The sequence below is a fragment of the Homo sapiens genome, chromosome 5, assembly GCF_000001405.40.
Source record: "Homo sapiens chromosome 5, GRCh38.p14 Primary Assembly".
Taxonomy (NCBI): domain Eukaryota; kingdom Metazoa; phylum Chordata; class Mammalia; order Primates; family Hominidae; genus Homo; species Homo sapiens.
This window is the reverse complement of record NC_000005.10, coordinates 5,715,112-5,736,696: the sequence shown is the minus strand read 5'-3', so window position 1 is coordinate 5,736,696 and position 21,585 is coordinate 5,715,112.

Genomic DNA, 21,585 nt, shown 5'->3' with positions numbered 1-21,585 from the left:
TTTCCCAACCACTGAGTTACTGTAAAGCTCTTATTTCTAAAAAATCTAAAAGCCATAGAGTATCATGTTTAATTTTGTGAAATTCATCGGAATCTGCTTCTAGTTTTTGATTTGGGTGAGTCCGTCTTCCCTCACAGTCATCCACTCTCCCAAAGGGACTTGTTTTTTTATTCAGAGAAGCAATTTTCGAAAGTTTAGAACCCCAAGGTTTGCCAAATGTGCGCTCCGGAGGGAAGGCTGAGACCATTGCAAAGCGTTACCTGCACTGCACTGACTCATTATGAAGACGAACATGCCACTGACCCTCAAGAGTTTTAGGCAACATTCCCTTGACATCAACTCATTTCAATACGATTGCATTATAAAGGACCATCTCTGGCACTGACTGAATATTTCTAGATATACTTTTGCCATTTTACAAGTATGCCCAGAGTCAACCTTAGCTTCTTTAAGCTAAAAATTTCAGGAAAAAATAATCTAAGCTCACTTCCTCTTTTTCGTGTTTCTTGATTTAGATCTAATCATTTCCTAGTTTCCTTTGAAAATACTCCCATATTGAGACTTCAGCACCCCACTGACAGTATTAGACAGATTACCAAGGCAGGAAACAAACAAAGATATTCAGAACTTTAACTTGACCCTTGACCAAATGGACCTAATAAGTATCTACAGAACACTCCACCCATAAGCAACAGAATATTAAGTTCTTCTCATCTGCACATGGCACAAACTCTAAAATTCAACACAATCAGACATAAAACAATTATCAGCAAGTTAAAAAACAACAACAACAACAACAAAACAAATCATACCAACCACGCTCTTGGACCACAGCATGATAAAAATGGAAATAAATACTAAGAAAATGTGTCAAAACCATATAATTACACGGAAATTAAACAACCTGCTCCTGAATGACTTTTGGCTAAATAATGAAATTAAAGCAGAAATCAAGAAATTATTTTAACTTAATGAGAACAGACACAACATACCAGAATCTCTGGGACATAGCTAAGGCAGTGTTAAGAGAGAAGTTTATAGCACTATATGCCCACATCAAAAAGTTAGAAAGGTTTCAAATCAACAACCTAACACCACAACTAGAGGAAATAGAGAAACAAGAGCAAACCAACCCCAAAGCTAGCTGAACATGAGAAATAACCAAAATCAGAGGTGAAGAGAAGGAAATTAAGATGCAAACAAACAAAAAATTACAAAAGATCAACTAATCCGGGAGTTGGTTTTTTGAAAAAAAAAAAATATAAGATAGACTGCTAACTAGAATAATAAAAAAAAGGGGAGAAAAGATCCAAGTAAACACAATCAGAAATGACAAACGGAATGTTACCATTGAACTCACAGAAATACAAATAACCATCAGAGACTACTATGAACACCTCTATGCATACAGCCTAGAAAACCTAGAAGAAATGGGTAAATTCCTGGACACACAACCTCCCATGACTGAACTAGGAAGAAACTGAATCTCTGAACATAGCAATAACAAATTCTAGACTTGAATCAGTAATAAGAAGCCTATCAGCGCCCCCCCTCAAAAAAACCCAGGACCAGATGGATTCACAATCAAATTCTACCAGATGAATAAAAAAGAGCTAGTACTACTCCTACTGAAACTATTCCCAAAAAATTGAGAAGGAAGGGCTCCTCCTTAACTCATTCTATGAAACCAGCATCATCCCGATACCAAAAGTTGGCAGTGACACAACAACAATGACAACAAAACTTCAGACCAATATCCTGGATGAACAGAGATGCAAAAATCCTCAGCAAAATACTTGAAATCTAAATCCAGCATCATATCCAAAAGCTAACCCACCACAATCAAGTAGGCTTTATCCATGGGATGCAAGGTTTGTTCTACATATGCACATCAATATATGAGATTCATCACGCAAACAGAACTAAAGACAAAAAGCACATGATTATCTAAATAGACGTAGAAAAGGCTTTCAATAAAATTCAACACCTCTTTATTGTTTAAAAATCTTCAGTAAACAAGGTATTGAAAGAACATACCTCAAAATAATAAGAACCATGAATGGCAAACCCACAGCCAGCATCATGCTGAATGGGCAAAAACTGGAAGCATTTCCCTTGAAAACCAGCACAAGTCAAGGATGCCCTGTCTCACCACTCATATTCAACATAGTATTGTAAGTCCTGGCCAGAGCATTCAGGCAAGAGGAAGAAATAAAGGGAATACAAATAGGAAGAGAGAAAGTCAAACTGTCCCTGTTTGCAGACAATGTGATCCTATTCCTAGAAAACCCCAAAGTCTCTTCCCAAAAGCTCTTTGATCTGAAAAAAAACTTCAGCAAAGTTTCAGGATATAAAATCAATGTGCAACAGTCAGTAGCATTCCTGTACACCAACAAGATGCAAGCTGACAGCCAAATCACAAATACAATTTCATTCACAATTCCCACAAAAAGAATAAAATATCTAGAAAAACAGCTAATGAGGGAGGTTCTACAATGAAAGGTACAAAACACTGCCTGAAGAAATTGGGAACAATACAAACAAATGGAAAATCATTCCATACTCATGGATAGGAAAAATCAGTATTGTTAAAATGGCCATACTGCCCAAAGAAATTTACAGATGCAATGCTATTCTTATCAAACTACAAATGACATTCTTCACAGAATTAGAAAAAAAATTACAATTCATATGGAACCAAAAGGAGTCCAAATAGGCAAGGTAATCCTAAGCAAAAAGAACACAGCTGGAGGCATCACATTACCCAACTTCAAACTATACTACAAAGCTACAGTAACCAAAAGAGCATGTACTGACACAAAAACAGATATATAGACCAATTGGACAGAATAGACAACCCAGAAATAAGGCCACACACCTGCAACTATCTGATCTTTGACAAAGTTGACAAAAACAAGCAATAAGGAAAGGACTCCCTATTCGATAAATGGTGCTGGAATAACTGGTTAGCCATATGTAGAAGATTGAAACTGGACTCCTTCCTCATACCATATGCAAAAATCAGCTGAAGATGGGTTAAAGACTTAAATGTAAAACCTAAAACTATAAAAAACCCTTGAAGGTAACCTAGGAAATATCATTCTGGACATAGAGCTGGACAAAGATTTCATTATGAAGATGCCAAAAGCAATTCCAAAAAAAAAAAAAATGACCAATGGGACCTAGTTAAACTAAAGAGATTCTGTACAGCAAAAGAAACTATCAACAGAGTAAACAGACAAGCTACAGCATAGGAAAAAATATTTGCAAACTATGCATCCAACAAAGGTCTAATATCCAGAATCTATAAGGAGCTTAAATTTACAAGCAAAAAACAACCCCATTAAAAAGTGGCCAAAGCTCATGAACAGATACTTCTCAAAAAAAGATATACACATGGCCAACGAGGATATGAAAAACAGCTCAAAATCACTAATCACTAGAGAAATGCAAATCAAAACCCCAGTGAGATACCATCTCACACCAGTCAGAATGGCTATTACTACAAAGTCTAAAAAATAACAGATACTAGCGAGGTTGTAGAGAAAAGGGAATATTTACACATTGCAGATGGGACTATAAATTAGTTCAGCCATTGTGGAAAGCAGTTTGGCAATTTCTGAAGGAACTTCAAACAGAATTACCATTTGATCCAGCAATCCCATTACTGGGTATATACCCAAAGGAATTTAAATCATTCTACCATAAAGACACATGCACACATATGTTCATTGCCACACTATTCACAATAGTGAAGACATGGAATCAACCTAAATGCCCATCAATGATAGAAGGAATAAAGAAAATATGATACATATGTACCATACTATACTTTACAGCCATTAAAAAAGACGGAAATCATGCCCTTTGCAGCAATGTGGATGCAACTGGAGGCCATCATCCTAAGTAAACTGACACAGGAACAAAAAACCAAAACTGCATGCTCTCACTTATAAGTGGAAGCTAAACACTGAGTGCACATGGACAAAGAAGAAGACAGCAGACCCCAGGGTACACTGGAGGGTGGAGGGTGGAAGGAGGGTGAGGATAGAAAACCACCTATTGGGTACCACATTGATTACCCAGGTAACAAAATTATCTGTACACCAAACCCCCATGACATACAATGTACCTATATAACAAACCTGGGCCAGGCGCAGTGGCTCACACTTGTAATCCAAGCACTTTGGGAGGCCGAGGCAGGCAGATCATTTGAGGTCAGGATTTCCAGACCAGCCTGGACAACATGGTGAAACCCCATCTCTACTGAAAATACAAAAATTAGCTGGTCGTGGTGGTGCACACCTGTAATCTCAGCTACTCAGGAGGCTGAGGCAGGAGAATTGTTTGAACCCAGGAGACAGAAGTCGTAGTGAGCAGAGATCATGCCACTACACTCCAGCCTAGGAGACCGAGCAAGACTCCATCTCCAAAATAAATAAATAAAAATAAATAAATAAAAATAAATAAATAAAACAAAACAAAAGAACCTGCACATGTATCCCTGAACCTAAAATAAAAGTTGAAAAAAAAAAACAAAACAGTCGTATGTTGCTAACAGTTGTTTTGGATAAAACGTGCCTCATTCCCTGCTGCCTGTAATTTAGGTGAGAAGGCTGGAGTGGGTGATACATCCTTGTACGTGTAGAGACTAGGATATCGAAACCACAGTGATCATAAGAGCTATCTCTCTCTTTTTTTAGATGGAGTTTTGCTCTTTCACCCAGGCTGGAGTGAAGTGGCGTGATCTTGACTCATTGCAACCTCCGCCCCCCGGGTTCAAGTGATTCTCCTGCCTCAGCCTCCTGGGTAGCTGGGATTATAGGCACCCACCACCACACCCAGCTAATTTTTTTTTTTTTTTGTGACCACGCCTGGCTAATTTTTTTGTATTTTTAGTACAGATGGGGTTTCACCATGTTGGTCAGGCTGGTCTCAAACTCCTGAGCTCAGGTGATCCACCTGCCTCAGTCTCCCAAAGTGCTACAATTACAGGTGTGAGCCACTGCGCCTGGCCACGAGCTATCTCTTAATGCTGTATGAGGATGGGGTGCAGCAAAAGCAAAACCACCTGTAGCAGATTGCTGGGTTGATTGGTAGCAACTCCATTGAGAAACAAATGTGTTACGCATTTTACTAAAATGTTCACCTAAAATAATTTTAGAGTGTTTTCCTTCCCTCTCTCAAATCCGGGAATCAGTGAGTAATGAGAGTTCCCAGGAGTGGGTGCTGAGGTTCCAGCTGCCTGCCCAGGCTTGCAGTGCTGCTATCCATGCGAGATCCTCTGATCACAGACATCTCCATTGCTTCCTACAAGGGTTTAGCTGGTGCACGGCTTGCATGGATGTGTTAAGTGAAGCAAGGGGGAAGCAGCAGAGAGAAGACAACCCCAGCTGTGACGGGAATCTCCGTCAAAAGCCTTAGAGAAAACCAATCTCTATCATATGCTCTCTGTATCAACATTCTCATAGGCACACAAATGTTTCTTGCCTTGTGAAGTTTTTTAAAAAAATAAAAGGCTTGATCTTTGTATGCTTGTTGTGTAACATGCTAAGTTTTACAGCAAGTTCTCTGAAAATTTCAAGCAAAGAATAATGTAAAGTTAGAAATGTTTTATATTATAGATAACAGAGATACAATAAAATAAAACTAAGATAAAGCTATAGAAGACTTCATTATGTATGTCCCCTAAGAACACTGTTAATTTTCATCTTAGCTTGAACCTGGGTTTGTGTTTCCTTTCTCTCCCATCCACCATTTAAAATAGCTTTTATTCACAATTACCACCACTTGGAAGCAACCAATGTGTCATTCAATAGGTGAAGAGATAAACTACATGACACTCTGGAAAAGGCAAAACCATGGAGACGGCAAAAGGATCTGTGGTTGCCAGCGGGTGGGGGAGGGCAGGATGAATAGGCGGAGCACAGAGGATTTTTTTAGAGCAGTGAAAATATTCTCTATCATACTATAAATGAAAGACTATGTCTGGGCACAGTGGTTCATGCCTGTAATCCCAGCACTTTGGGAGGCCGAGGTGAGCAGATCACTTGAGGTCAGGAGTTCAAGACCAGCCTGGCTAACGTGGTGAAACCCCGTCTCTAAGAAAAATACAAAAGTTAGCTGGGCGTGGTGGCAGGCACCTGTAATCCCAGCTACTCAGGAGGTTGAGGTGGGAGAATTGCTTGAACCCAGGAGGTGGAGGTTGCAGTGGGCAGAGATTGTGACACTGCACTGTAGCCTGAGTGACAGAGTGAGTCACTGTCTCAACAATAAATAAATAAATAAGTAAATGAATAAAATATTAAGTGATATAAATAAGTGAATGATTAAGCCATAAAAAGACATGAAGAGACCATAAATGCCTATTACTCAGTGACAGAAGCCAATCTGAAAAGGCTGCATACTGTATGATTCCAACTACATGACACTCTGGAAAAGGTAAAACCATGGAGACGGCAAAAGGATCTGTGGTTGCCAGGGGGTGGGGGAAGGCAGGATGAATAGGTGGAGCACAGAGGATTTTTTAGAGCAGTGAAAATATTCTCTATCATACTATAATGATGCAAACACACCATTATACATTTGTCAGGCTCATGGAGTGTACAACCCAAGACTGAACCTTAATGGAAACTGTGGACCATAGTTAATCCATCAGTATTAGTTAATAAATTCTAGCAAATATACCACACAGTATGTAAATAATAGGGGAAACTGTGTTGGAGAAGAGAAGGGTACAGGGGAACTCTATTATAGGATAGATTTTTCCAGAAACCTAAAATTGTTTTTAAAAATCTACTAATGTGGCTGGGTGCGGTGGCTCATGCCTGTAATCCCAGCACTTTGGGAGGCCAAGGCGGGCGGATCACGAGGTCAGGAGATCGAGACCATCCTGGCTAACACGGTGAAACCCCGTCTCTACTAAAAATACAAAAAATTGGCTGGGCGTGGTAGCGGGCGCCTGTAGTCCCAGCTACTCGGGAGGCTGAGGCAGGAGAATAGCGTGAACCCAGGATGTGAAGCTTGCAGTGAGCCAAGATCACACCACTGCACTCCAGCCTGGGTGACAGAGCCAGACTCTGCCTCAAAAAAAAAAAAAAATCTACTAATGTTTGATAAAACTGATAACATTGGAGCTATAAGTATTGATGCACAAAGCTAGGAGATGAACCCCATAGAGTAACTGTGTGCAAGGAGAACCAGAGTAGAGAATGAAATCAAACAAATATCCATAAAGATGAGGATCAACCTACCAAGTCTTTATCGTTGGTTAATTTGGTCTAGTATTTCATGAAAAATGTATTTGAAACATTCATAAGGATCTACTGTGTGTTATATGCCAGGTTAGGCTTAATATAACAGAAGTAAGCAAGCTATCATCCAGCCCTGAAGATCTGACCCATGACAATCCAACCCACCACATTCAAGTGCACTGCAAGCTGCAAAAGAAGCAAAGAATTCTGAAGGTGTGGGTGAAAAGCCGTCACGAGGAACTGCGCGCATGCACCTCCTTTTCGTGTTCTGAGATGGTACGGATGACGATGGGATGCTAGTCATCCATTGGCATATTAAATGAGCTCATGGATTAGACTCTTTTCAGAGCTGCAGGTTGCTTGCATGATTCTCTCCTGGGAGGGCACTCAGGCACAGAAGCAGATCAAGTCCTGGTTTGATAAGACATAGAGAGAAGGAGAGCCTGGGGTCACCCAAAGTGAAATCAACCCAGGAACAAAGCTTTGATTCTCAGAAGAGATGGGAAATTCCACGAAGGACAAAGCATCCACATATTTTGTTAGATGTGGGTCTGAGCTCTATGGAGGGAAGAATTTGCAATGAAAAACAGAGGTCTGTTTTGCTAAAATCACTGCAAGAGGATGAAATGCAGGCCACATTTCCAGGGGACCCATCTAGCAAGGCATCCTGCATGAAGAGCCCAGGGCTCTTACCCCACACCTCATGACACAGTAATGTGAAGCTCTGCTTGCTTAAAGTCTCTGCTGTTGGTAGCAATGAACTGCAGTGCTGGGCAGAGCAGCTGTCACCCCTAGCTAGAGACTGCAGTGTTTGTGGCAGAACAATCCACAGCCAGCACTTGGCAGAAATGGGTGTGTCTGCAACAGCACCATGTCCTATGAGACATACAAGGTATCTCAAAGGGATGCCCAGAAACACTTGGGGAGGAAGCTCTGCATGGAACTGGAGGGTCCTCATCAGGTTGGAGGAAAGCTAGTGAAATAGGGTTCCCCTAGGCTATAGTGGTCATGGGGACTCTGGTCATCCTTTAATAAATCTGTACTTATTAAGACTTAAAGCCAAGAGATTTTAAATGCCATATACATTTATAATGATTGCACGAACAGGAGTTAGGTTAAAAAGTGTCAGCACCTTTCCAATAATACAAGGTGAAGACCACAGGCAGCAAGAGGGAGCTGAATGTCAGAAAGAAGGAATAGAGGGCCCAAAAGTCAGCAGGGATGATTCCAAGAGTGCAGGAAATCAAGCTCCATCTAGGTCTGGTCTTAAGGGATCAAAATCTCTCCTGATATGTCTACTGAAGGCAATTTCTGGGGCTGTCCTTGGTTATCTTTGAAAATCATTGCTTTCTGTGGCCTCGAAAATACATGATGTCTGTATGGACTAAGTGACCCTGCCACATGCCAGACCATAGGTAAAACGAGTAGAAACATATGCACGAGTGGGAAGAATACGCAGGAAATCAGGAGTTCATGGCAGACACTCAATATGACCTGGAAGTCTTACTGGGTCTGAAAAATTGTGGCAATTTAGCAATTCAGAACACTGCCACTGAAAAGAGAGAAAAATGTTTTTCAGATTTCCAGCTCCTGCTGCAAAATACGAGACAGGGTACAACATATTGTTACATTGTTATTCTAAAACATGATGTTTATTGGAAACAAAGTGAATAGTTAAATAGGAAAATAATAAAAGAAAACAATAAAACAAACAAGCTATTAATTCCCAGCCCAAGTGGATGTTATGTCTCATTGTATGGTCAGCCGTAGCAGCATTCTGTTTACCCAAAGATTAGATTTCCAGCAACTTCAATTTTGTGTTAGCAAACAGCTGTGACAAAGCCCATGAATTCAAAGCTTTTGAACCACCTTGGAATGGAAAATTGTGCATAAAATGTAAAATCTTTCCCTTTATCTTTATCTTCACTGTCTGCGTGCACTCTGTACACACGATGCTTTCCTGTGGGCCACTGAGCTGTGTGTGTGCTCTGTAGCAAATTAATCACAAATTTAGCAACTTAAGACAACACAATTTTATAATTTTACACAGTTCTGGAGGTCAGAAGTCTGACATGGGTCTCATCATACTAAAATCAAAATGTCGGCAGGACTGAGTTCCTTCCTGGAGGCTCTAAGGAAGCCCATTTCCTTCTCATCCAGGTGGTTGACAGGACAGAGCAGGACAGAGTTCCTTGTGATGGGACTGAGGCCCCTGTTCCTCACTGGCTGTCTCTTGGAGGCCACCCACACTTTGTGGCTCATGCCTGTTCCTCCATCTTTGTGGTCAGCAGCACTGGGTTGAGTCTCTCTCACACTTCAGAAGCCCCTAGCTGTTTCCTCCCTCTGGAGATTCATCCCTCTGGGGATTCTGCCTCCGTCTTCCACTTTTAAGGGCTCACGTGATTACATTGATCCCGCACACATAATCCAGGATAATCTCCCCATTTCAAGGTCTGGTACAGGCCTTAATTCCATGTCCATCTGTGATATAATGTATTCCCAGGTTCCAGGGATTAGGACATGGACATCTTTTAGGGGAGCCCAATTCTGCCTGCCACTCCCTCCAAGTGAAGGCAGGATTTGTGTGGTTCATTTATGTCAAAGTTCATGCCCCTGTCCTTCCACACTCTTCAGACACAACCTCATCATTCCTCCCTCTGCTTTTTGCTTACAGGAAACCGTTATCCCCAGGACACTAGCAAAGTCAAGACACTCTCACTCTTGCTAATGTGCCATTATTGAGAGCAGAACAAAATCCAGATAGCCCCTTTCTCCTTCAGATCCTCCACAAACTAAAAACTGCTCTGACCTCTGCCTGAATGCTCTCTTACTCCCCCTGCTTGTTGACTCTTCGCGGTTGGGCGCAGAAAATGGACAACTTCTCAGTTCAGTTGAGTGACAAGTTGTGTTGCACTTTCTACGGAACAGACTTCTGTCTCATGGACACAGGAGATGGAGGGAAGGGCTTCAACGATTTTTTATTTTTGATGACTGGAGAATTCCTTCTTTAATCTGTTTGGAGGACTCAAAGATCACAACTTTTCCTTTCTCAATTGTCAGCTACTTATTTATAAAAATCGTCATGACATCACAAGGGAAAGAGCCACATATACCACAGAGGAAAGGCTTTAGGTTGATGTTTTTGTTCATAGGGTCTTCAATGCATTTTTCATGCTCAATTATAGCTGGTTAAAGTCAATGCCAGTGACCTACAAGTGTCAAGGAAAAGGAGCATTGTCCATGTTCTAAAATAAAAAGTAAATGCAGTGCAGTGGAAAGAGTAAGGTAAATTCATCATGCATGGCTTCCATGCTTGGAGTTTACGTGAATTTATGACCTAAACAAGTAAAGGCCCCATCACCTAAGCTAAAACAGGCCTCACAGCTTCACCATTTTACCTGACCACTAAGGGAGGTAATGGGAATTGGGGGTTAAAAAAACAAAACCCAGAAAATCTTGAGACTCATTAGAGAAGGAATTGAAAGGCTTCAATAAGGAAAGACTCAGGGGAAAAAAATCAGGGGGCTCAGAAGAGACCTGGAAACAGAAGTTTCTATTAAGACAATGGTATTTTAGATGCTGCTCTTGAAAAGGCAGAATTTCAAGATCCCTACCTCCAGGGCAGTGTTCCCCTACATGGTGGGATTCAAGAAGGTCCTGGAGCTGCAGCCCATTTCCATGCCCCAGATCCCATTTCTCTCCTCCTCCCCACCTGCTGAGATAGTAGGACAGGTGTGGCTTCCTCTCCTAACAAGAACACCTTTTCCCAACACACACACACACACACACACACACACACCCTTGAGTCTCCTTGCGATGGAGAGGGTCACGTGGTGTCTCACTTTGGCATTATTCTTGTCAAAAATGCAGAACCTCAATCTAACCATGAGAAAACGTTAGGCAAACCCCAACTGAGAGAATTTCCACAAAGGGCCAGGTTACTGTAGCCACACCTTGGAAAATGTTTAGCAAGAAGCAGCAGAAGAGTGCTCCCCAAGGCAGGGGTTTGGGGCGTTGTTGCCTTCAAGCTTGCTTTTATCCTGACACAAGAATCTTGCCTTAAAGGAGCTGATAGAACAGTTTGGGAGGTAAAGACTGTTCAACTGCATGCTGCAGATATAACCACTATGTAACTCAAAGAAGAGGAGAGGGGAGGTCATCTTCAATTGTTGGGTTGGGAACATTGGGAAGACATTGTTAGATGTGCAGAAGCTTTCTGAGGGGAGAGATGAAATGAAATCTGAGTTTGGACAGAAAGATGTATTGTACTGAGTTTGGGGAAAAATAAATATTCTAAGAGATAAAAACACACAATGGTCTAGCAGTGTGGAGAACAGCCCCTGGGTTTACAGCAGAATGATTTGAATTTAGAAGACAGCAGCACCTCCTAAGCAAGTGTGGAACAAAGAACAAGCGTAGTCACCATTGAGCTAATAATTCCTGCCTCTGAGTCATGCATTCGTTCCTATGGCTGCTGTAACAAAACTCACAAATTCTGTGGATTAAAACAAGACAGGTTTGTTTATCTTAAAATTGCAGAAGTCAGAAGTCCAAAATTAGTCTTAAGGGGCTGAAAGCACAGCTCCTTCTGTTGGCTGCGGGAGACCATTGGCACTGGCCTCTCCCATGGTCTGCTTTGGTTGTCTGTCCATCATTGCCTCTCCCCCACTGGTGTCACCCCTCTCTTTTATGAAGACACTGTGATTACATTCATAGTCCACTCAGATAATCCCAGACAATCTTGAGCAGCAAGGGTGGCTTAGGTAAAAAAGTTTTAGAGGATCTCACAAGACAAGCCCTGTGAGTTAGACTTTCTATGACAACTGGACAGCAATTTAAATGGGAAAGATTTGTTTGAGAGCAAACAAATGTGTGTCTGTCACCTGCAGGTCTCTTGAAGCAAGAACAGATGGGACACCTGGACACTGTTGCAATAACCCAGGCACAAGTAGGAAGGAAGAAACAAAGGGAAAGACAAGTAAGAGGAGAGTCAGCTTGGGGAAGGGGCTTCCAAGGATGTTCATTGCCCCAGATGCTGCAGCAGGCTGGCAGCCAGCGGCCCCAGAGGCTGTAAGGAAGAGCATCTTCCCAGCACAGTTCGGGGAGGTCTGCTTCCAGGCATTGGGATCATTTGATGTATTCTTGTTCCTTTATAACTAATTTGTCATACTTTTCTAGCTCATAGTTTTTCATGTTTTAATTTGGGAACAGTGTGAAGGGCATACCACACCTCAGCATAGAAACAAGGGATTTACTCACGGATGGATCTGAGTTTGTTTTTCATTTTCACGAAATGAAGGTAGTCTTAAACCAGTGACAGTGAACATTCAAAAAGAAAGTGAAGAGCAGGGCCCACCCCCACCCACAGTACCAGTCCGTGGCCTGTTAGGAATGGGGCCTCACAATAGGAGGTGAGCAGCAGATGAGCAAGTAAAGCTCCATCTGTATGTACAACTGCTCCCCATTGCTCACATGACTGCATGAGCTCCACCTCCTGTCAAATCAGCAGCAGCATTAGATTCTCTTAGGAGCATGAACTCTATTGTGAATTGCCGTGCAAGGGATCTAGGTTGCATGCTTCTTATGAGAATCTAATGCCTGATGATCTGTCACTGTCTCCCATCACCCCCAGGAGGGACTATCTATTTGCAGAAAAAAAAGCTCAGGGCTCCCACTGATCCTACATTATAGTGAGTTGTATAACTATTGTATTATATATTACAATGTAATATATTCTAGAAATAAAGAGCACAATAAATGTAATGCACTTGACTTCTCCCCTCCAACCCCCAGTTGGTAGAAAAATATTGTCTTCCACGAACCAGTCCCTGGTGCCAAAAATGTTGGGAACTGCTGGTGTAGAGAATTGTGCCTAGAAATGCTACACATGGAAGATAATTTAAATAGGAAGTTTGACAAAGAATAGAGTTGAAACAATTGTCAAAATTAATAGGTATTCCCTAAAGCATGTTCCCTGCCCAACCTTCATATGACATTGACTTGCACGCACTGTGATCCAAGAGTGAGGTTTGTTCTCTCTTAAAAAAGTCCTGACAGAAATTTGATGTTACAAAAAAGTGAAACTTACATAATAAAAAATCAGAACATTTGTTATAAAGGCTATGAAACTAAGTAAGAGTTTTCTGAAATGTAACATCTATATTTGCACTTGCTACAATATACATTTTACTATTCTCATTTGGATAACACTCAATTCTATGCACAAGTTAGCTGGAAAAGTCAATTCCAATTCACTGTGGGATCACGTCGTAGATATTTAAGATTACCTAATTGCTTTGATTTGAATTCTTTAAAAAGAAATGTTATCACTTTCAACAGCTATTTAAATTGATCACTATTGCATATTCAGATGTTCATGCGAAAAACTAACAAGCAGAATTGCAAAAAATAATTCTTATTCAATCTCTTGGAAGTAAAACTGATAAACTCAACTTACTTTCATAGTGACACAAATTACTTAGCCAAGCTTTTTTTTCCCCATCTATCTTCTTTTCTGGGTAATATATTTAGATGTTTAGTATTTTTTCCTGAATTTTCTTTTCTTTTCTTTTCTTTTCTTTTCTTTTTTTTTTGAGACAGAGTCTCGCTCTGTCACCCAGGCTGGAGTGCAGTGGCGCAATCTCGGTTCACTGCAAGCTCCACCTTCCGGGTTCACGCCATTCTCCTGCCTCAGCCTCCCGAATAGCTGAGACTACAGGCGCCCACCACCACGCCCGGCTAAGTTTTGTATTTTTAGTAGAGACAGGGTTTCACCGTGTTAGCCAGGATAGTCTCGATCTCCTGACCTCGTGATCTGCCGGCCTCGGCCTCCCAAAGTGCTGGGATTACAGGTGTGAGCCACCGCACCCCGCCTTTTCCTCAATTTTCTTACTCTTTTCATCGTTTCAACAAATTTTCAAATACAAATAAACTTTAAAAATATATTAAGAGCCCTATTTTGGGGAATGCCAGCATGAACATTTTTACCCATGCTATTGTGTTCTTTACTTTCAATTTAAATAGAATAGTTGAGCTCGGTCAGATAAATAATAAGATTGTGAGAAACTCTTTTTGCCTGAAGTGATTAAAATGGATCCATCATTTTCCTGTCCTCCGCTCCTTCCCGTTCCCACCCCAGGAAGGGCCTTCAGGACTTTGTTCCACGACCACCTCCGCAGAGGCCAATGGAAGAGGTTCATGGAAACAGCCCTATTCTTTTCATCCATGTCAAGAACCCCGGAGCTTTAGCTCAGTAAGAAACATATTGTCTGGTACCTTGACAACCTGAAACACTTTGAAAGCTAATTCCAGTTTTTTTCTAGCTATATGTACTCCAAGTGACTCAGAACCCCCAGGGCATGTGCTAACAGCAGAATCTCTCAGAGTAGGTACAACCTGGAGCAAAATGAAACAAATAGAAACAAGAATGCAGCTCACCTTGTTCAAATAAACCTTAGTCCTCACTTAAAACAAGAAAGCAACATAAAAATGCAGCCCTAGGTAATATCAAGTGCCTACACCAAGAAATCCCAAAGGGTTCACCTCTGTCTCTTCTTGTGTTTCCTTTCCAAACCAAGAGCATTTTTCAGAAGTTAACTAATAGCAAAAGTATCTCACTCTTTTTATAAAAAAGAAACTATTTTCCAAAAATATTTAGGAAAAAGGTTAATTTTTCTGTTTTCTCCAAAAAAAAAAAGCATTTTAGAGGCATCTTTGATTTCAGTTTTGCATCATAGAGTTTAAATCAAACAGAGAAACACATCAGTCCTTGTGTCAGTCCCTTGGTGAGTGGGAGACTTCCCAGGGACCTGATGGAGGCAGCCAGTGTGGTGACACCTGCCCAAGACTGCATGTCCAGGAACTAGCCCAGTTAGCAGGACCCAGAGCCTGTAACTCCATCTTCAGAGCACTTTGGAGGAAAACCACATAGGAATGTAGAAACCTCCAAAAGGCCATTCCTGAGGTCTGGTGGGGCTGTCTGTTGGTGGTGGGAGCAGGGCTGAGTTTGAGGTATGGACCTGTGCTGTCTCACAGAGCCCTGCTAAGGACCTTGCACTCAGTTTATAGGCTGCTGTTGCCGCCCTGAAATTCTCAACAATATAATTGAGAAGGTCCTACATTTTCATCACGCATGGGCCCCATGAAGCCTTTAGCTGGTCCTGGTTAGAGTAGAAGCAGGATAGCATCAATGAAAAGCATTGGTGTGAATCCAGCTTCAGCCAGCTTTGGCATCTGGAGCAACTAATAGGATTTTCTGAGCTCCGTTTAAACCTAGGAGAATCATACTTGCTACCTCAGAGGTGAATAGGCTTACATATGTGTTAAGGCATGTAAAGCATCAAACTGTAGAAAGCATTTCATGTGTGCTGTCACTCTGAAAGCCCATTTGCTTGCTAAACTGAACTAAATATTATAAATGTGGAGTGGAGATGTTTGGAAAAATCAAGAGCTTCATTTTTAAATCACCATTAATACCTCCATATTTTTAGGCCCTGTCTCTAAACAATATTTTTACTTCCATCTTAAGAAATATTCCATCATTTAACCTAATCTAATTGCATTTTTGCTCTCAAATTCCTCTTTAAAAAAATAGGTAACTAAAATAACTTCTTAAAGTGTATGAAGAAAAGAATCAGCCAGGCACGGTGGCTCACACCTGTAATCCCAGCATTTTGGGAGGCCAACGTGGGAGGATTGCTTGAGCCCAAGAGTTGGAGACCAGCCTGGGCAACATAGTGAGACCCCATCTCTACATTTTTTTTTAAATCAGCCAGGTATGATGTTATGCCTGCAGTCCCAGCTACTAGGGAGAATGAGGTGAGAGGATCACTTAAGCTTGGGAGGTTTTCATTGCAGTCAGCTGAGATCATGTCATTGCACTCCAGCCTGGGCCACAAAGGAAGGCCCTATCTCAAAAAAAAAAAAAAAAAAAAAAGGAAAGGATCAGGGAAAACCCTAAGTAGGCCATTTCTTTCCATACAGGGCTGTAATTTATTTTCTGTTCTGCGGCACCCGGAGCAATACCAGCATAGGTGGGAGTCACAATCCATGGCTTTGTAAGACAAGAGAAAGGATGTGTGGGACAGTGGCTTTTAAGCCTTCCTTGGCCATGAGTCCAAAGTGAAGGCTGCACAGATCGCTGCCAACAGTGCACATCACACACGCTCCTGAAAGACAGGTCATATGCAGCGTGGAACCATCCTGACTCTGCCACTGTTCACTCCCCAGTCTGATGCTTCTGTTCTACTTTGATTTTTTACAGGCTGAACTGGGTTGTTGCAAAGTTCCTATGTTGAAGCCTTAACCCCCACTACCTCAGAATGTTACTGTCTTTGGAGATACAGCATTTAAAGAGGTAATTAGGTAAAAATGGGGTCACTGAGGTGGGCCCTAATCCAATACGACTGGTGTCCTCATAAGAGAGGAGACTAGCACGGAGGAGAGGCACCCAGGATGTGCAGGCACAGAGGAGAGGCCGTGGGAGGACACGGCGAGGAGGCTGCCATCTGCAAGGCCAGGAGACAGGTCTCAGAGGAAATCGCACCTGCCAACACCTTAATCTCCAACTTCCAGCCTCCAGAAATGTGCAAAAACAGATTTTGATTGTTGAGGTCACCCGGCCTGTGGCACTTTGTTATCACAGTCAGAGTAAAGAGATACCAGGCCCTTCGGATGAAGATGGCTGATTGAACAAGCTTAATCATCCTCCCCCTGAACACTCACTTACATGATGGCAAAAGGGTTAACATGCATAAACCACAAGAAGAAAGGGAATGTGAGGAAAGGCGAGAGCCACAATATTTTGGAAGCTGAAAAGCAGACAGATGAATGAAACTGCCTTAGCAACCCTAAGAAAGGTGAAACCTAAGTGGACAGAGTGGTTCCTAAGCAACCCACTATGCCACAGACCCAGACTCACTGGGGAACTGAAGCACTGTAGGCAAGCTCTTGAGTGGCTCATAGGGCACAGGAGAGCCGTCGAGAGTGGCTATGAAGCGGTGAGACTCTCGGCTGCCCAACCCAGCCCACATCAGCCCACTCCCTCCTGCTGCCTTGAGCTCATCCATGGCTAAGTCTGCAGAGCTGTCCAGAGGACCTCTGTCCTCCTATGCCAGGCACAGCTGGGCACTGGGGGCTGAATGAAAACAGGAGATCCAGGGAAAAACCAGGCTGGATGATAGGGAAGATAAAAATATACAAAAGTACAGTGCAGAAACAAGAACATTTTTTCAAAAATACATAATTAAAGTCCTCAAAAATAAGGGAAAACTTGGCATTGATTGAAAGAAGCAGCAGAATAATGTCCCATAGTATAAAGATTATTATTTATCAATTAAAAATTAGCTATGGATAAACGTTCAGATTATTGGCAGATTTTAAAAATTAGTTTTTTATTTCAAGATAATTCCAGATTCACATGTTGTTCTAAGGAACAAATTACAAAAAGGTCCCCTGTACCCTTTACCCAGTTCCCCTGATGATAATTTATTTTAAAACTATAGTACAGGCCGGGCACGGTGGCTCACACCTGTAATCCCAACACTTTGAGAGGCCAAGGCAGGCAGATCACCTGAGGTCAAGAGTTTGAGACCAGCCTGGCCAACGTGGTGAAACCCCATCTCTACTAAAAATACAAAAATTAGCCGGGAGTGGTGGTGCATGCCTGTAATCTCAGCTACTTGGGAGGCTGAGGCAAGAGAATCTCTTGAACCTGGAAGGTGGAGGTTGCAATGAGCTGAGATCACACCATTGTACTCCAGCCTGGGCAATAAGAGTGAGATTCCGTCTCAAAAACAACAACAACAACAAAAACCATAGTACAATCTTACAACAAAAATGATGACAGCAATACAATCAAGATACAAAGCAATTTTATTGTTCATTGATCTCTCTTGTTGTCTCCTTTTTCCCAGCTTTATTGTTGTATGATTAACAAATAAAAATTCCATATATTTAAGGTGTACAGTGTGATAATTCAATATATGAATACATTGTAAAATGATTGCTACAATCAAGCTAAGGAATATATTCATCAATTCCCATGTCTATGACAGCATTATTCACTATAGCCAGAAAATAGAAGTAACCTCGTTGTTCATCCAGGGACGAGTGGATAAAGAACATGTGGTATGAATACAAAATGGAATATTTCCAGTTTTGAAGATGCTCAACAATGCTTTGAAATATTACTACACCTGTCTTTTTTTAATCTAAGGTGCTTTTATTGTAATGAGATAGATTCTAAAAACATGGGTTTTCTGGGCAAAGGATATATGTATATAACATTTCGAGAAATATATTTCAAAAAGTTGTAGCAATTCTCATCTCAATCAGCAAGGGCTTGTTAGCATTGTTTCTCTTAATCCTTGTCTGTGTGGGAAGTTACTGTGCTTGTTATGGTTTGCGGATCTGCTGGGTGGAATATATTAACTTATTGTTACTTAAACTTTCATTTATCCTGTATTTTGGTGAGATTGAAGTGTCTAGCTATTTGCATTTCCTCTTCTATGAATTGTCTTTCTATATTTATTGCCCATTTTCTCACTGTGCTCTTCATCTTTTTCTTGTAGATTTATAGAAGCATTTTATACTGGCTCTATATCATTTAGCCAAGGGTGATATTCAAAATATTTGGGAGAGTGGGGATCGAAAGTGTGAAGAGTATGTGATCGCAAAACTCAGAGAAGTAATGGCTGGCTTTCAACCTGAGTGCATCAAGGAACTGATGTGGGGATTGAGCATGAAAAATAGGGTCTAACTCACCTTTCAGGAGAACCATTCTGGTTGCGGGGTGGAGAGTAAACAGAAGGGACAGAGGGGAAATAGAGATGGCTTAGAAGGCAGTTCAAGTTTTCTCTTAAATCATCATGCCTATGTGGCTTTTTCCTCTTCACAAATCCATGTGCAATTGAGTCTATGTATTTCCACCCTTTGTGAAATGGTTGTGCGTATAGGGAGTTGTCTATTTATCCTTCCACCTTGAATCCACCTCATCAAAATTTTCCCAGCACCTCAACAGAACAACCCTTATCAAGGCCACTGATGACCTCTGTTTTGCTTACCCCACACATCCACGCTTACCTAACCTTAAACCACACACAGATGCTTAACTCACCTTAACTCTCACCAGCATATGACACAATTGTGAGGCAGGTTCACTGTGCACAGGTTACCGATTTGTCTGAGTACAGTGAGACAGAACACCCATGCACACAGGTTACATGCAGCAGGTTTATTATTAATACTTCCAGATAGACTGCAGGAACACAGGAACCTGGGATGCAGGGTGAGCCAGTCTCCCCAAGGCCCAGGAAGCAGCCTGGGGCCAATGTAGTTTTGACTGTGTATGCCCCGTGTTCACTACAACTGAGGGACCAGGACCTGAGAGAGGAACTCACCCTGGGTTTTATACCCTGAGACGATGAGAACCTCTGGGCTAAAGCATCAAAGAACATCTTGTTTCCAGGGGGCACCTGGAATAGAGTCTGGGCTGTTCCAGTCAGTCTCTTCCTATTTCTGAGTGTTACATTCCCAGCACGTTCGAGTCATTCTTGAGAACTACAAGCAAAACAGTGGGAAGAAATGACCACCCACAAAACCATGAATCATCCCCTCTGCCTGGAAAGCTCTCTCGTCCCTTCAATTCTAGAATGCCAGCAATCTGGTTCCACTCCTAACCACTGGGTGCATCTCTCAGCATCCTTCTTACTCTTCCTCATCTCCTGAACTCTCCCTTTTCAAGTCCCCGAAGCCCCTTTCCTCTCTATCCATACTCACTCCTGCCAATCTCAACCTGATTCCTGATTTTTGGCAACTATCACATTTGTACCTCTAGCCCAGACCTCACCCTTGGACTTCAGAGATGAGTTTCCAACTACCTGCTCAGTATCTCCACCTACACATTTCCATCTGTTTCTTGGGGCTGCCAAAACATAACGCCACAAACACGGTGCTGTAAAAAAGTACAGAAATTTATTATCTCATAATCCTAGAGGACAGAAACCAAAATCACTAAGTTAGAGGGCCCTGCTTTCTCTGAAAGCTCTAGGGGAGGATGCATTCAACACTGCTCTCCTTGTGTCCGGGGGTTGTAGGCAACTCCCAGCATTCCATGGCTCGTGGATGCATTGCCTCAGTCTCTCCCTCCACCCTCACATCACCTCCTACCCTTCGTGTATGCATATCTGTGTCTTCACTTGGCCTTCTTAAAAGGAACCATTCACAGGATTTAGGCCCCACCCTAACCCAGCATGGATGGCTTCAATTTAGCTTAACTATCTATATCTGGAAAGATACTGTTTCCAAAGAAGGTCACATTCATAGGTACTGGGGTTTATATCTCCAGTCTATTTGAGGGGAGGCAGCATAATCCAATGCCAGTGATATCTATCCGGGATCTTACACCTGCCATGTCCAGAACCAGGTCGCCATCTTTTCCCTCAAGCCAGGATCCTCCCCGACAATATCCCCACCCCAGAAAATGTCCCTGCCATCCTCCTAGTTGTTCAGGCCAAATGCCTCCTCTTTATTCATCCCACATCCAGCCATTAGAGAGCGGGGAAGACTCCGCCTTCAAAGCACATTTCACTAGCATGAGCAGAGCTCACCTGGTCCACTGAGACCATCTGTCCCAGCTGCTGCCATTTCTGGCCTTGATTGTTGCAGTGGCTTCTTGCTTGCCCCTCCTGCCTCCATCCTGGTCCTCTTCAGTCAGATCTCCATTGAGGAGCCAAGCAATTCTTTGAAGCACAATGGCAGAAAATGACATTGGCTTACTCAAAACCTTTCGGTGTCTTCCCATCTCAAAGTAAAAACCAAAGTGTTCACAATTCACCACAATGTGCTGCAACACTGACATCCCACCCCACCCCTCTGTCATTTCCCCACCCTGCAACCCTGCCCCACCCTACACCACCCACACTATCTTCCTTGCTCTTCTGCCATGTGGTATGGTTACCTCTCTAAAGTATCTTCCAAATTTCTCCTCGATTTGAGATAAGTGAGATTGTGTGAAATAAATAGATAGCTGCTCATGGGTTTCTACCCACTGGAACATAAGTTCCCTGTGGGTGAGAATTTTTATTCATTTTGTCTCTACCCAGTCCCCAGCACTTAGAGCAATGGCTGGCACACACTTGGAGCTTCCTAAAGATGTGTTGATTGTGTGAAAGGTGCAATCAAGATATTCAGCTAGAATAAGCCGTCTTCCGTGAGAAAGCATAAAATGTGTAAGAGGAATCAAAAGCAAGTTACTATAAGGGAAGGCAAATGAATAATTAAGTTGGAGGTTTGGAGACACATATTAGAGATAAGTGAACTCATGCAAGATTTG